Source organism: Homo sapiens, chromosome 6 (genome assembly GCF_000001405.40).
Source record: "Homo sapiens chromosome 6, GRCh38.p14 Primary Assembly".
NCBI classification, from domain to species: domain Eukaryota; kingdom Metazoa; phylum Chordata; class Mammalia; order Primates; family Hominidae; genus Homo; species Homo sapiens.
The window spans coordinates 149,864,812-149,881,899 of record NC_000006.12 but is presented as its reverse complement, the minus strand read 5'-3'; the positions used below and the strand labels follow the sequence as shown (position 1 = coordinate 149,881,899).

Genomic DNA, 17,088 nt, shown 5'->3' with positions numbered 1-17,088 from the left:
TATGCCCAGTAGTGAAATTGCTGGTCAAATGGCAGTTCTGTTTTAAGTTCTTTGAGAAACCTCTGAACTGCTTTCTGCAGTGGCTAAACTATTTCACATTTTCACCAGCAGTGTAAAGTGTTCCCTTTTCTCTATAGCCTCATCACCCATATGCTATTTTTTTACTTTTTCCCCCCAAAGTCTCAAGTTTTATTTAAATAGCCTCCAGTGAGAACAGAGTGGGCCAGTGACTACCCCTTCCTTGTAAAGTCTATTAACCAAACCAAGGAGAGTAAGCACACCCTGCAGCCAGCCTGCCAGCCAGTCATGTGATAGGCGGGGTGCCTCTCAATGGGGGCGGCCACGACCACGGCCCCAGCTAGCTGCTGGGGGAGCATCCACAGTCAATCGGATTCTTGATGGTTTCATCCACAGACACAATCAGGCACACAGCCTAAGAGGCCACTGCCAGGGCATTGATCCATACCAAAGCTGGCTCCCACACGAAGGCCTCAAAGTTGTCAGCAATGTCCTCGTTGTTGATGTCCACCTCATATCACGTGCCCCTGGGAATGCCATGCCTGCAGCTTGTTGAGAATCTCTGTGGCCCCAAAGCCAGCATTATTGTACAGCTGGAATGAGACAATCTCCAAGGCCTTGGCATATGCCCCAATCAACAGCTGTTGTTTTCCTGGAATAGTCTTTGAGGAATCCTGGAGGTACTTGGAGAACTCCCTCTCAATGGCCCTGCCACCAGCCACCACTGACTCATTCCCGATGGCCCTCCTGATGATCATGATGGCATCACACAGGGACCGCTCTGTCTCCTCAATAAACTGCTCACTACCACCATGGAGGATGAAGGTGCCTGTCTTGGCTTTGAGGCAGCCAGTAAAAAAGTTGTACCTCTCACCTTTAATCAGGGTCTCTTCAAACACCTGGCGTCGACCCAGCACATCTGCTAAGAAAGCATTCGTACTGGTCTGGATTGAGCCTCCACAGGCCATCATTGTCCTCTTCAGATTCTCCTCAGGTACTTGGCCAGCACAGAACATGTTCCTGTCAGCAAAGTACTGGGCGGCCACATCTCCAGTGGGGAGTTCAGACAAGACAACTTTGGCTCCAAAATGATAGATCCTCTCTAACTTGTCATAGAGAATGTTCCACTCGGCATCAACAATCGCCTGATAATCCTCAACCGTGTGGACTTTTATCTAAGCATTATCTTTCTCAGCTTTCAACTCGAGCTCAACATTCAAAAGGGCAATCTAGGGATTTTGGTATTTTTGGGAGGGTTGCATTTTAAACCCAGCATAAGAGAAAGTCTTCTTAAATGCAACACCAGCTGGGCTCCATCCTGTACCTTCTTGATTCCAATCATTTTAAGCTGCAGCAAATCATCACACGTCATCACTGCATCCACCACCATCTTAGCAAAGAAAGCTTTCTGCTGTGAGATCAGTTGGAGCTCAGAGTGGTCCTGGCACACTACTCCAGCAGCTTCCTCTACTCCACTTTATCTGCCTTCTTCACAGTCACAGCAATCTCTTTGATCGTGTTAACTACCAACTGGGTGGCTGTGCAGACAGCTCGAATGTTGAGCTGAGGGTGTAAACCATCCTTCACCTGCAGTTTCACCTGCTTCAGAAACTCTGCAGCCAGCAAGGTCACTGAGATGGTGCCATCACCGACCTCAGTGTCTTGGGATTTGGCAATGTCTACTAACGTCTTTGCTGCAAGATGGACAACATGAAGAAGTTTCAGAATTGTGGCCACATCGTTAGATATTGTTGCTTTGCCTCCGCCATCCACAATAAGCTTGTCCATGCCACAGGCACCCAGGGTGGCTCTTACAGCCTTGGCAATCACCTGGCAGGTACTGAGGTTATTCACAAGCTGGGGGATGCCTTGGGAGCTATCAGTCCCCTCTTTCAACAGGATAACTAGTGTGGGCATCATTTTGGAAGCTTATTCAGTGGCCCGCGACTCTCCTCTCTTCTCCGTGACGGGTCCGCCCAGCAATCCACCTAATTTTTGACTTTTTAATAATCACCATTCAGGCTGGTGTGAGATGGTATCTCACTGTAGTTTTGTTTTGCATTTCTCTGATGATTAGTGATGCTGAGAATTTTTTCATGTTTGTTGGACACTTAGTATGTCTTCTTTTGAGAAGTGTCTGTTCCTGTTCTTTGCCCACTTTTTCATGGGGTTATTTGGTTTTTGCTTGTTGAATTGTTTAAGTTTCTTACAGATTCTGGATATTAGACCTTTGTTGGCTGCATAGTTTGCAAATATTTTCTCCCATTCTGTAGGCTGCCTGTTTACTCTGTTGATAGTTTTTTTTTTTTTTTTTTTTTTTCCCCTGCAGAAGCTCTTTAGTTTAATTAGGTCTCACTTTTCAACTTTTGGTTTTGTCGCAATTGCTTTTGAGGACTTGTTATAAATTGTTTCCCAAGGCCAATGTCCAGAATGGTATTTCTGAAAATTTCTTTTAGGATTCTTATAGTTTGAGGTCATATATTTAAATCTTCAATCTGGCTGGGTGTGGTGACCCTCAACTGCAATCCCAGTACTTTAGGAGGCTGAGGCAGGTGGATCCCCTGAGGTCAGGTGTTCGAGACCAGCCTGGGCAACATGGTGAAACCCAGTCTCTACTAAAAATACAAAAATTAGTTGGGTGTGGTGGCAGGTAACTGTAATCCCAGCTACTCGAGAGACTGAGGCAGGAGAATCGCTTGAACCCAGGAGGCAGAGGTTGCAGTGAGCTGAGATCATGCCACTGCACTCCAGCCTGGGTGACAAGAGCGAGACTCCTTCTCAAAAAATAAAAAATAAATAAATATTCAATCCATCTTGAGTTGATTTTTGTATATAGTGAAAGTTAAGGGTCCAGTTTCATTTTTCTGCATATAAATAGCCAGCTATCCCAGCACCATTTATTGAATAGGGAATACCTTTTCCCATTGCTTATTTGTGTCAGTTTTGTCAAAGATCAGATGGCTGCAGATGTGCAGCTTTATTTCTGGGTTTTCTGTTCCAGCCATTATCCTAAGTGAATTATGCAGGAACAGAAAACCAAATACTTCATGTTCTCACTATGTACTAGTACCATGTTGTTTTGGTTACTGTAGCCTTATAGGATAGCTTGAAGTCAGGTGATGTGATTGAAGTCAGGTGATGTGATGCCTCTCCCTTTTTTTTTTTTTTTTTTTTTTTTGGCTTAGGATTGCTTTGGCTAATGGGGCTGTTTTTCAGTTCCATATGAATTTTAGAATAGTTTTTTCTAATTGTGTGAAAAATAACATTGGAAGTTTGATAGGAATAGCATTGAATCTGTAGATTGCTTCGGGCAGTATGGCCATTTTAATGGTACTGATTCTTCCAACCTGTGAGCATGGAACGTTCTTCCATTTGCTTGTGTCATCTATGATTTCTTTCAGCAGGATTTTGTAGTTATCCCTGTAGAGATCTTTCATCTCCTTGGTTAGATATACTTCTAGGGGTGTGTGTGTGCGTGTGTCTGTGTGTGTGTGTTGTAAATGGGACTGCATTCTTGATTTGGCTCTCAGCTTGGACATTATTGGTGTATGGAATAACTAATTTGTATACATTGATTTTGTATCCTGAAACTTTACTGAAATCATTTACCAGTTCTAGGAGCCTCGTGGCAGAGTCTTTAAGGTTTTCTAGTTACTATCATGTCGACAGTGAAGAGTGACAGCTTGACTTCTTTTCCTATTTGGATGTCTTTTCTTTGTTTCTCTTGCCTGACTGCTGTGGCTGGGACTGCCAGTACTATGTTGAATAGAAGTGGTGAGAGTGGGCATCCTTGTCTTGTTGCTGTTCTTAAGGGGAATGTTTCCAGCTTTTGCCCATTCAGTATGATGTTGGCTGTGGGTTTGTCACAGACAGCTCTTATTATTTTGAGGTATGTTCCTTCAGTGACTAGTTTGTTGAGAGTTTTTGCCATGAAGGTATGTTGGATTTTATTGAAAGCTTTTTCTGCATCTACTGAGATGATCATATGGTTTTTGCTTTCAATTCTGCTGATGTGGTGAATCATATTTATTACTTTGCATATGTTAAACCACCTTGCATCCCAGGAATAAAGAAAATAGGCAGCTATTGTCAGGCAGTGGACAACAGACAGTGCAAGACTGCTATCCTTGAGAGAGGGGACATTCCCATGGTGAGCCCTACAACTGTCTGCCGGGGACAGTTCCCCATGGTGCTATGAGCTGAAGTCCAAACACAGCACAGGGGCCTCACTAGCATAGAAGGCAGAGATCAGAGATTGGGGCAGCTAAAGTGACTGGAATTTGCAGGACAGGTCACCAAAGAGGGGATTGCCAAGTGGAGAGGAGGGGCAGAAGTCTGTGGGGGAAGTCCTTGGCCGAGTAGTGCTTGCTCAGAGTGAGACCTCCTGAAGTTTGCCAGAGAACCACTGCTATGGGGTTGAAACAGAGATAGTAGAGGCAGAGACATGTTGCAGGACATTGGGGGCCAGCCCAGCCAGAGAGGAGAGATGTTGTTAATACTTTATTAACACCATGAACATCCTAAGGCCATAGCTTAGAAATAAGGGTCACGTCCCAGAGTGAGATCTACCCAACAAAGCTTAAAATCAATCCCTGTCAAGATGAGCAGGGGAGACAGAGTTTTGAAGTTGCATTTAGAAGGTCATAGGAACTGCGTGGACTTTCCACAGATCTACCTAATAGAGCATAAAACCAAGCCTTCTAAAGTTCAAGATGGTTAACAGGTCATTGAATTGCCTACTGGAACAAAAATCAACACAGTTCAGAGGAAAACAACAGAATCCAGAGTTTCTACAACGTGTCATCAATAATAGTCAAGATATAATAATGAAAAATCTCTGGACAGTATGGTGGTTTTGTAAAATGGCTGCCAATTCTTTGACACACTTCCCATCAAGAGGTAGAATCTCTGCCTTTTCCCCTTGATTCTCGGTGGGTGCTATAGTCTGAATGTGTCCCCCAAAATTCATGTGTCAGAAACTTAATCCGCAATGCAACAGTGTTGGGATGTGAGGCCTTTTGGAAGATGTTTAGGTCAGACCACTCAGGCCAATGGTGTGAGAAAGCCAAGCCACATGTGGGTAGTAAAGTCAGTGGGCCTAGACATCAAATCATCTTAACCCAGGCATCAGACATGCTAGTAAAGGAATCTCCATGTCATTCCACCAAGAACTGAGTCACCACTTTCTGGTCTTTCCAGCCATGGAACAGAGACAGACAATAGTTATTGTGCCCTCTCCAAATTTCCTGACCCACAGAATCTATAAGAACCCATAAAACGGTTGTTGTTTTAAACTATTAATCTTTGGAATGGTTGTTTTAGTTTTGTTTTCTTTAAAAAGCAAAAATCATCAGTGCAACCTGCAAAGTAGCAAGAAAATGTTGCTCAAGAAAAAAAAGCAGTCAATAAAAACAAACTCTGAACTAATCCAGATGTTGGATATAGCAGACAAAGCTTTACTACGTGCACAGTCATTCATGTCATCTGAAAAGAGAAACAGTTTTCTTTCTTTCTCTCCAGTCCTCTCCAGTGTCTGGCCCCTACCCCTTTCCTATCACCTATTCAATCAGAAATACTGTCAGCTTCCAGTATTTTATAGGTGCCATGGAAACTTAGGTGCTTGGGCATTGAGTATTTCTTTTTTGGCAAAGGGAATGATTTTCAGACTAACCAGGGAGAACAAACACTAGTTAGGGGAGGAACGAACATCAGGGAGTCCTAACTGCTCTCGGTGAGCCCAGGTTTCCTGATCTACATGAATGACAGTCCCAGATACCAATTTGCAAATGAGAGGACTGGACCATTGTTTGTGACCTTTGAGAGATTATGGACATTATCAAAGGTGTCTAGACTACAGAAATGGGCAAAAGATAACAAACGTCAAGAGGGGAGTATAGTTTATTTTGCAAAGACGATACCAGTCCAATATCAATCCTGTACAAGATTCTAGCAACAGTTTTTGAGGGCCTATTTGGAAAATTCTGACAAAAAAAACGATGCTCATCAGAACCTTAAATTGCTTACTAAATTCCCCGGTATATTTTTATTTTTTAAATTGCTGTTATAAATTGGCAAGTATGAGAATACAATAACCTCAACTCCAAGATTTTCAACAATTTTGCATATGTTTGTGGAGAAGATGGAAATACATGGGCTGGATAAGGGCAACTGGGTGGATTAATAAACTAATAATCGCCGGGCACGGTGACTCATGCCTGTAATCCCAGCACTCTGGGAGGCCGAGGCGGGCGGATCACCTGAGGTCGGGAGTTTGAGACCAGCCTGACCAACATGGAGAACCCTGTCTCTACTAAAAATACAAAATTAGCCTGGCATAGTGGCGCATGTCTGTAATCCCAGCTACTTTGGGGAGGCTAAAGCAGGAGAATTGCTTGAACCCGGGAGGCGGAGGTTGCTGTGAGATGAGATTATGCCATTGTACACCTAGGCAACAAGAGCGAAACTCCATCTCAAAAAAAAATTAAAATAAAATAACCTAATAATCATAGTTAGAGGATTCAAATTAATGAATTGATATCAATGTTGGCATAAGCCTTTAATGAAGTGTCTCAAGGCTCTCACCTTGGCCTTCTCATAGTCCATATTTTACATGGATTTCTTGGATGAAGACATAGAAGGCAGGATCATCAGTTTATAGAGGATACAAAGCCAGGTGAGCAAAAAGTATCTTGAGACAAACAAAATGGAACCACAACATGCTAACACTTATGTAATGCAGCAAAAGCAGTTCTAAGAAGGATGTTGCTATTGTCTAGATGTGTTCTCTCCAAAATTCAGGTGTTACCACTGTGATAGTGTTAAGAGGTGGGCCTTTAAGAGTTGATTAGGTCACGAGGGCTCCTCCCACCTCGATGGGATTACTACTCTTATAAAAGAGGTTTCATGTGCCATTTGGCTAGCTTGTCCTTCTGCCTTCCACCATGTGGGGATGCAGCAAGAAGGCCATCACTAGACACCAAATGCCAGTGCCTTGATCTTAAACTTCTCAGTTTCTAGAATTGTGAGAAAATAAATTTATGGTATTTATAAATGACCCAATCTCAGGTATTTGTTATACCAGCACAAAACAGACTAAGACAGGTATTTACGGCAATAAATGCCTAGATTAAAAAAGATTCAGCAGAACATTAAGTCTAATAAATAAATAATAACAAAAGAAAAAAGGAAGATCTCAAATAATGTAACTTTAAATCCCAAGGAACTAGAAAAAAAAAAGCAAACTAAGTTGATAGTCAGCAGAAGGAAGGAAATAATAAAAATTAAAGCAGAAATAATCGATGAATTTGAGACTAGAAAAACAATAGATGAGATAAACGAAACTAAGAGTTGGTTTTATGAAAGATAAAATTGACAAACGTAGACTAATGAAGAAAAACAGAGAAGACTCAAATGATTAAAATTATAAATGAAAGACATCACAATTGATATCACAGAAAGACAAAAGATCATGAGAGACTACTATAAACAATTGTGCACCCACAAATTGGGTAACCTAGAAGAAATGGATAAATTGCTAGAAACATAACCTATCAAGACTGCATCATGAAGAAAGAAAACCAGAATAGACAATTAGTGAGAAAGGAGATTGAATCAACAATCAAAAATCTCCTCAGGAAGAAAAGGCCAGGGTCAGATGGCTTCATCAGTAAATTCTACAAGACATTTAAAGAAGAAATAACATCTGTTTTTCTCAAACTCTTCCAAAAAATTGAAGGAGATGGAGCACTTCCAAACTCCTTTTACAAGAGCAGCATTACCCTCACACCAAAGCCAGATAAGAAAAATATAAGAAAAGAAAATTACAGGCCAATATCCCCAGTGATCACAGATGCAAACATTCTCAACAAAATACCAGCAAACTGAATTCAACAGCACATTAAAAGGATCATACACCACGATCAAGTGGGATTTATCCCTGGGATGCAAGAATGGTTCAACATGCAAAGCAATAAATGTGACACACCATATTAACATAATGAAGGATAAAAATTATATGATCATCTCAACAGACACAGAAAAAGCATTTGACAAAATTTAGCATCTTTTTATAAAAAAACTCTCAACAAATTAGATGTAGAAGAAATGTATCTCAACATAATAAAGACTGTATACAACAAGCCCACAGCTAACGTCATACTCAAAGGTGAAAACCTGAAAGCTTTCCCCCAAAAATCAGGAAAAAGACAAGAATGCCCACTCTCAGTGCTTCTATTCCAGAAAGTATTAGAAATCCTAGCCAGAGCAATTAGGCAAGAGAAGAAAATAAAATATTCAGATGAGAAAGGAACAAGTTAAATTGTCTTTGTTTGCATATGACATGATCTTATATATAGAAAACTCTAAAAACTACTCCCCCAAACCATTAGAACTAATAAATAAATTCAGTAGGCCAGACATGGTGGCTCACAACTGTAATCCCAGTACTTTGGAGGGCTAAGGCAGGAGGATTGCTTCAGGCTAGGAGTTTGAGACCTGCCTGGGCAACATAGTGAGACCCTCATTCTCAGGAGGCTAAAAATGGGAGGATCACTTGAGCCCAGGAAGTCAAGTCTGCAGTGAGCCGTGATTGTACCACTGCACTCCAGCCTGGGTGACAGAGTGACCCTGTCTCAAAAATAAATAAGTTAATGTATACAACAAAGTTGTAGGATACAAAATCAACATACAAAAATCAGTTGGATTTCAATACACTAACAATGTATTATCTAAAAAATAAATTAAGACACATTTATAATTGCATCAAAAAGCATAAAATACTTAGGAATAAATTTAACAAAGGAAGTAAAAGGTGTGTACACTGAAAAATATAGACATTGATGAAAGAAATTAAAGTAGACACAAATAAAAGGAAAGATATCCTGTGTTCATGGATTGGAAGAATTAATATTGTTCCAATGTCCATACTACACAAAATGTTTTACAGGTTCATTACAATCCCTATCAAAATTCCAGTGACATTTTTCACAGAAATAGAAAATACAATCGTAAAATTCAAATGGAACCACAAGGCTGGGCACAATAGCTTATGCCTGTAATCCCAGCACTTTGGGAGGCTGAGGTGGGCTGGTCACCTGAGGTCAGGAGTTCAAGACCAGCCTGGCCAACATGGTGAAACCCCGTCTCTACTAAAAATACAAAAATTAGCCAGGCGTTGTGGTGCACGCCTGTAGTCCCAGATACTCAGGAGGCTGAGGCAGGAGGATCACTTGAATCCAGGAGGCAGAGGTTGCAGTGATCTAAGATTATGCCATGAACTCCAGCCTAGGTGATAGAGCACGACTCCATCTCAAAAAAAAAAAAAAAAATGGAACCACAAATGAACTCAAATAGCCAAAGCAATCTGAGAAAGAAGAACAAAACTGGAGACATCACACTTCTTGATTTCAAATTATACTACAAAGCTATAGTAATCAAAACAGTATGGTACTGGCATCAATGCAGACATATAGACCAATAGTGGAACAGAACAGAGAGCCCAGAAATAACCCCACACATATATGGTCAACTAATTTTGACAAGGGTGTCAAGAATATGCAATAGGGAAAGGATAGTCTCTTCAGTCAATGGTATTGAGAATAAGTGGTAACCACATCCAAAGAATGAAATTGGACCTTTATCTTACAACCTATACAAAAGTTAACCCAAAATGTATTAAGATTTAAATGTAAGACCTGAAACTGAAACTACTAGAAGAAAACATAGGGAAAAAGCTTCTTAACATTGGTCTTGGTAATAATTTTCTTGATGTGACACCAGAAGCACACAAAAGCAAAAATAAACAGCTGGGACTGTATCAAACTAAAAAGCTTCCGCACAATAAAGGAAACAATCAACAGAGTGAAAAGACAACCCACAAAATGGGAGAAAATACTTGCAAACCATGTATCTGATAAAGAATTAATATCCAATGTTCGTCTTTAACACAGAAAGAACTCATATAACTCAATAGCAAAAACAAAAACAAAACCTGCTTTTCAAAAACTGGCAAAGGACACGAATAGACATTTTATTCAAAGAAAACCTACAAGTGGGTGACAAATACATAAAACGGTGCTCCACATTATTAATAATCGGAGAAATGCAAATCAAAATCACAATGAGATATCACCTTGCATCTGTTAAAGTGGTGTTATCATTTAAAAAAAAACACAAGAAATAACAAGTGTTGGTGAGTGTGTGGAGAAAAGAGAACCCTTGCACACTGTCAGTGGGAATGTAAATTGGTATAGCCATTATGGAAAACAGTACAAAAAAAAGTTCTATTAGAAACAGAGCTAACATATGACCCAGCAATCCCACTTCTAGGTATGTATCCAAACGAACTGAAAGCAGTATCTCCAAGAGATATCTGTACCCCCATGTTTATTGCAGCACTGTTCACAATAGCCAAGATATGGAAACAACCTAAGTGTTCACTGACAGGCCAATTAAGAAAATGTGATATAGATACACAGATAGATGTAGATACAGATAGATATGCAATGGAGTATTATACAGCCATAAAAAGGAGGAAATCCTGCCATTTGTGACAATATGGGTGAATCTGGAGAACATTAGGACATTATGCTACTTAAGTAAGCTAGACATCAACATAAAATATTATATGATTTTTCTTCATTTGGAATCTAAAAAGTCAAACTTAAGCAGAGAATAGAACGGTCATTGTCAGGGGCTGGGGGAGATGTTGCTCAAAGGGTCAAACTTTAAAGTTGGTCAAACTTTCAGTTATAAGATGTTAAGTTGGATCTAATGTACAGCATGGTGACTATAGTTAATAATACTGTATTGTTTACTTGAAATTTGCTAAAAGAGTAGACCTTAAGTACCCTCACCACACACACAACACACACAATGGTAACTGTGTGTGGTGATGGATATGTTCATTAATGTGATTGTGGTAATCATACACAATATATATGTACGTAAAATGGTCATGTCATATTTGTCAAATACATACAATTTTTTTTTTGAGGTGGAGTCTCACTCTGTTGCCCAGCTGGGGTACAGTGGCACCATCTCAGCTCACTGCAACCTGGGCCTCCCAGGTTCAAGCGATTCTCCTGCCTCAGCCTCCCGAGTAGCTGGGATTACAGGTGCCAGCCATTATGCTCAGCTATTTTTTTTTTTTTTTGTATTTTTAGTAGAGATGCGGGTTTCACTATGTTGGCCAGGCTGGTCTTGAACTCCTGACCTCGTGATTTGCCCGCCTCAGCCTCCCAAAGTGCTAGAATTACCGGCGTGAGCCACTGCTCCAGCCTACAATTTTTATTTGTCAGTTATACCTCAGTAATGCTGAAAAACGCAACAATAACAAAGCCAGGTGGGATAGAAAACAGGTTAGATGACAGAATGGAGATCTGCAAGCCTCACGATGTGATGAATCGATGAACTGAGAGGGGATGATCCCAGCTAACACTTAGGAGCCTTTAGCGCACTAGCCATTGTGCTAAGTGCTTTATGTGCTGTGTTTCACTTAATCCTCACCACACTTGTGGGAAGCAAGGTGAGGCAATTATTCCTATATTACGGCGGGGTGATCTGGTGCTTGAAGAGGGTAGGTGACTTGCCCAAAGTCACACAGCCAGCAGGTGTTTGACACTGCTGTCATAAGCCACACTCAACACTGTGCTGTACTAAGCAAGCTGAGTTGCCTGAGCTTCAATGGCATTTTAAAATTATTTAAAGGACTATCACTTGGGAGTAGGTGTAGGTTGCTCTGAGTGGTCCCAAGAGAAGGAACTGGGACAAATACTTGGAAGCTACAAAACAGATTGTAACTGAATATAAGGAAAACATTCTAATGAATAGTAAGAGTTGCCCAAAGATGGAAGGAGCTTTGGTGTGTGAAGGTGAAACTAGCTCAATTTCCCCCGAGAACTGATGTTTGCCATTTTTTTCCTATTAAAGCTAGAAATGGACCCTGCTTTTCTTAATGCTTAAAACTTACATTTGTCTTATCTGAATTCCTTTTTCAGGAAACCCTCCGACTTCCAGATAATATCGAGGAAGTAAAACTCACATCACCACATCCAGATAACGAGACACCAGACTCCTCTCCTTACTCCTCCATAATTCCTGTTTTCCTAACCAACCATCTGCTTCCCGTTGACCAATTGTTCTTCCTTACCCCTCCTTAATTCCTGTTTTCCTGTGGGTAGCTACACTCCTTCCCCACTATATACACCCCAATTTAAGTTGGTCGAAGATCTGAGACTTATCTCCACTTATCTTTATTTGGCAGCACCAAAGAAAGCCTTCTTCCCCCAAAAATACTTGATCCAGTGATTGGCTTTCTGTGCTGCAAGCAACAGGACCTAAACTGAACCCCTGGTGTTTCAGTAACAAAATATTGCATTCCCTACCTGTGAATTGGGGGTAATACTAGCACATGCTGCGTAATTGTTGTTTTAAGTAAATAAGTGACTGTGCAGAACTCAGAACGGTTCCTGGTAGTCGTAGCACAGTACTTTTTATAAGCGTTTCTTAAATTTAAAATGAAAATTAATGAACATGTTCAAGCAGACATGGGGCATTGCCTGAGTCAACGCAGAAGACAACTTCTCAGGATTTTCCCCAGTTACTACCACGTCCTTCCTCTAAGAACGGCCTCTCTTTCCATCCTCAATGAGGAGAGGGAAGGCCATGTTTGTAGCCCTGTTTGTGCCTCATGGTCTCTGCACACTAACCTCAGTTTAGGGTGGACACAGGACCAAGCTAGACTCATCAGAGTCTCTCTCTTGGTACTGATGGTCACTGTTCTGAGTTTCTGTTCATTGCTGCAGGTGAGGTGAGATAGACTCAGGCTCTGTGCATGGAGGGCAGAAAACTCCAGACTCTGAGAGAAGCATGAATCAGATGTGCAGAGAGAAGTGGAGATCTCAGACTACTTGGTCCCAGAAGAGAGAAGCAGCAACTGGGAGACCAGCTGCTTGACTGCTGAGGGTTCTGCCATGTCTGGTCCAGGCCCTCCCAAGGCCTGGCTGCATTTCCTCCCTGCCTGTGAGTGCATGTGTGTAAACACGGTAGCTATTTTTTCTTTAAACCAATCTAAAATGAGTTTCTGTTGTTTGCAATCCACAGAGATTTAACTAGGATGAACCTAGATCACTGAGCTGCAAGGCAAGAACTCCATGAGAGGAATTCCAGGTAGAAGGCCAAGTAGGTGCTCAGGGGAGAGATTTGAGACCAGAAAGTGTCAGGCAACTCCTGTCTTCACTCCCTCCCTCTCTCAAGGCTATGTATGCACTGTTCTCTATTTCCTCTTTTCACGGTTCCATTTGTCCCCCTCTGCTGAACAGCTTCTCTCTGCTATCATCCCCTTCCATGTCCCCTGGAGCTCACCTGGCTTCCCAGCTACACTTCCCTCCCTGACTCAATTTGTTGAGTCAGTTTGTTGAGTTGATTTGCTGAGTCAGTTTGTTTCTCAATTCTGTTTTTACATTCCTTGGAGAGAGTATCTGATTGGCTGTGCTTGGGCCAGGCATTCATTATTGATTCCATCCCTAGTGAACAGGGGGTGTGGCCACCTGGGGGTTGGGGCTGCCCCTTCCAGGGACGTGAGCAGAGCAGATTCCATGAAAGGGGTATGGAGAAGGAAGAATCTTAGTGCAACAGCCACTCAGCTGGGATGTTGTAGAGGAGATTCAGGCTTCAAGTGGTTTCATGACTTCTAATCTTAGGAAAGGTCCTTCATTTCTGTTGTAATAACAACAACAACTAGCATTTATTGAACTTCTATAATGTGTCAGATGCCCTTCTAAGCACTTCACATGCACTGACTTAACTTATTCGATGCCTGTAAAAGTACTTAGATGGGCAGTAGAGGGGAGGGGAGGGCAACAAAAAACGATGTCACTAGGGTGTTGCTGTAGATTGGATGTTTGTAACCCCCCAAAATTCCTATGTTGAAACCTAATGTGATGATGTTTGCAGTGGAGAATTTGGAAGATGATTAGGGCATGAAGGTGGAGCCCTCATGAATGGGATTAGTGTTCTTATAAAAAAGATCCCAGGCCAGGCACGGTGCCTCATGCCTGAAATCATAGCACTTTGGGAGGCTGAGGCAGCCAGATCATAAGGTCATGAGTTCGAGACCAGCCTGACCAACATGGTGAAACCCAGTCTCTACTAAAAATACAAAAATTAGCCAGGCGTGGTGGTGTGCGCCTGTAATCCCAGCCACTCAGGAGGCTGAGGCAGAAGAATCGTTTGAACCCAGGAGGCAGAGGTTGCAGTAAGCAGAGATTGTGCCTCTGAACTCCAGCCTGGGCAACAGAGCGAGACTTTGTCTCAAAAAAGAAAAGAAAAGAAAAGAAAAAAATCCCAGAGAGCTCCCTAACTCCTCCCACAAGGTGAGGACTCAGTGAGAAGACTGCTGTCTATGAACCAGGAAGTGGGCCCTCACCAGATATCAGCGTCTGCCAGCACCATGATCTTGAACTTCTCAGCCACTAGAATTGTGAGGAATAAATTTCTGTTGTTTAGAAGCCTCCCAGTCTGTGGTATTCTGTTACAGCAGCCCAGCTAAGACACAGGTTATCTCATTCCAACATTCAACAAACTGACCTACGAAGTCCAATCTCAATTTGATCCACTCTTACTCTTAATGATCTATCTTATAAAACAGAAACACATCTTCCTGACATTTTCATCCTCACATAAAAATTCTTCTATCCATTGATAAGGTTTTGATGTTTAGGCTTTTAAAACAAAGATAGTTTATTTCTGAAAAAAACTGAAAAGAGAACTAGAAAAAGAAGATAAATCACAATGCACAGTGCAATGAAACTTCGTTTTTAAAAAATAGCCTTATTAACATATAATTGACTATACCCACTTAAAATACACAATTTGATGAACTTTGATCAATGTATTCACCAGTGAAACCATCACCACAATCAAGGTAATGAACACACCTATCACCTGCAAAAGTTTTCATGTGCTTCTCTGTAATCCCTTCCCTTCCTACTCAAACTCATGCCTCTTGTCACAAGGTTTCTCCACTCTGGCTGTTGGGAACGAACTATTGCCTGGCCAATGCAAGCTCAGAAGTTTTTCTGCCAGCTTTTTTCTAGTGGTTGCCTCTCTGTCTTGGGAAGTTTCCTCACATGCATGTACCTGGTCGAACTTCTGCTGAAGACTCAGAGGAACCCTGCACAGATCTCCAGAGCTCCCTCCTTCCGTTGCACTCTCTCCTCTCTGGTACTCTAGCCACCCTGGCCTCCCTGAATTCTCAGCTCTATTTTCCAACTCAGAGTCTCTTTTGGTTCGCCTGTCTGCATTGCGGCTTGGAAACCCTCTCCAGGCAGTAAGCTGGAGCAAGCAGCATGTTCACTTCCTTTGTCTCCCTTCTCTTGGGCCCTGCATTGCCTGTTGCCCAATGTCTGAAAACCATTGTTCCATACATTTTTTTCACAGATTTTTCATTTCAGGTCACAGAGTAAGTCCAGTCCTTGTTGCTCCCTCCTGGCTGAAGCAGATGTCAACACTTATTTTTAAAAAATAGAAAATCATTTACAACAAGCTCATTGCAAAAAAAAAATTCAACAAAGTCTTATAAATTATAAAAGTCAGTATTTCCCCTTCAGTACTTGCAACTCACAGCCCAGAAATAACCACTGCTCACGGTAAACACAACATTAAATAATTTCCACTTCTCCCAAAAAGACCTATTGTAAAGTTGCAGATGCAGGAAAATCTTTGATGGTGCTGGAGGGATTTAGAAATGAATGCCCCTGAGAAATGCTGTCCTCTCCCCTGTCCACTTCCCTACCACGGAACATGTGAGCTAGGGCTCACTCTATACTGACTTCTCTTTCACGGTCCCAAAGGCAGGAGTGAGGTGGTCAAAGTCTCTGTGAAGGCACATAAAATCATGTATGTGAAAGTGTTTGGCAAACTTTGAAATCATGTACAATTCTTAGTTAATATTATATATTATCATGTTATTTTTAATATTAATAACTTATATAACAACTAGTCCTTGGAGGGTTTGATGATACCCTCAGTCAGCATTTTCATCACTAGTGAAAGTTTCTCCTCATAACAATCCTGCTCAAGCTCTCCAAGGTCTATGGCAAAAAATAAAAATAAAAAATAAAAAGCATTATGTTGCTTCAAGGTCATCTTACAATGACTGCAGTTGTGTGGGATGAGTATGCCATATGAGGAAGAATCTCCAGGCCGAAGTGGTACAGTCCAGACACAGCCTTTAGAGCTAAGAGGCCATTTCTTTTAGCCTCAAAAATCACTCAAATATACCCCTGCAAAAACTTTATAATTTCTCCCTTTGATGGAATGGCAAGTAACATTGAGCTTTTTTCTTTCTTTTCTATTGCTACCTTTTAATTTTACCTCCTACTCTGATCTGGATCTGCAAGCAATGGGTTCCTAAATGTCAACTCTGGAGATAATAAACACATAGCAGAGACTGATATTTTCCCACCAATTATTTATTCTTTCAATCCTAAAAAATACAGACACTTAACAGTGTTCTATTTACAATGTGCGCATCCAGGCAAAAATTTCCGGACAGGCTAAAAAGCAAGAAAATGCGATCCACAATCAGGAGAAAAATGAATCAACAGAAACTGATTCAGAAACAAACAAGATGCAGATGCTGCTCACAGAAGTCTAGAACGCCAAGGTGAAGCCCCCACTGGGTTGGACATTTTCTTATTCCTTATGTCATTTAAAGCACAACTCCCGAGATTTTACGTGATATAACCGCTAGAGGCCTCTCTGTCACAGGCTGTATTACTCCCAGGTCCCCATGTTGGCTGTGTTCAGATTTTTTGTTATATTTGTGGAAATCTGAGTGCATGTGACGACTGCTATTTATGGGTTTTGTTTTTATTTTTAAAGACAGGGTCTTGTTCTGTCCCCCAGGCTGGAGTACAGTGGTGTGATCACAGCTCATTGCAGTCTCGAACTCCTGGGTCCAAGCCATCCTCCCAACTCAGCCTCAGGACTTACAGGCGAGTACCACCTCACCAGGCTTGATTTTTGTGTTTTTAAACAGACTGAACATCTTTCAGTACTTCCCATCCC

General features: G+C 41.5%; 2 long non-coding RNA genes and 1 pseudogene across 2 annotated transcripts in view; 1 reads left to right on the top strand and 2 right to left on the bottom strand.

Moving 5' to 3' along the window:
• The window catches only part of RAET1E-LRP11 (RAET1E-LRP11 readthrough), a 77,374-nt gene that overhangs the window by 14,231 nt on the left and 46,055 nt on the right, over window positions 1-17,088 (top strand). The window contains exons 6-9 of the long non-coding RNA NR_182438.1: window positions 12,015-13,038; window positions 13,120-13,197; window positions 16,556-16,684; window positions 16,903-17,015. This is a non-coding gene — a long non-coding RNA (RAET1E-LRP11 readthrough). The remainder of the gene's footprint in view (window positions 1-12,014; window positions 13,039-13,119; window positions 13,198-16,555; window positions 16,685-16,902; window positions 17,016-17,088) is intronic.
• RAET1E-AS1 (RAET1E antisense RNA 1) overlaps window positions 1-17,088 on the bottom strand; it is a 56,011-nt gene that overhangs the window by 37,609 nt on the left and 1,314 nt on the right. The gene's annotated exons all lie outside the window — the stretch shown is intronic.
• On the bottom strand, window positions 178-2,006 carry CCT7P1 (chaperonin containing TCP1 subunit 7 pseudogene 1; annotated as a pseudogene).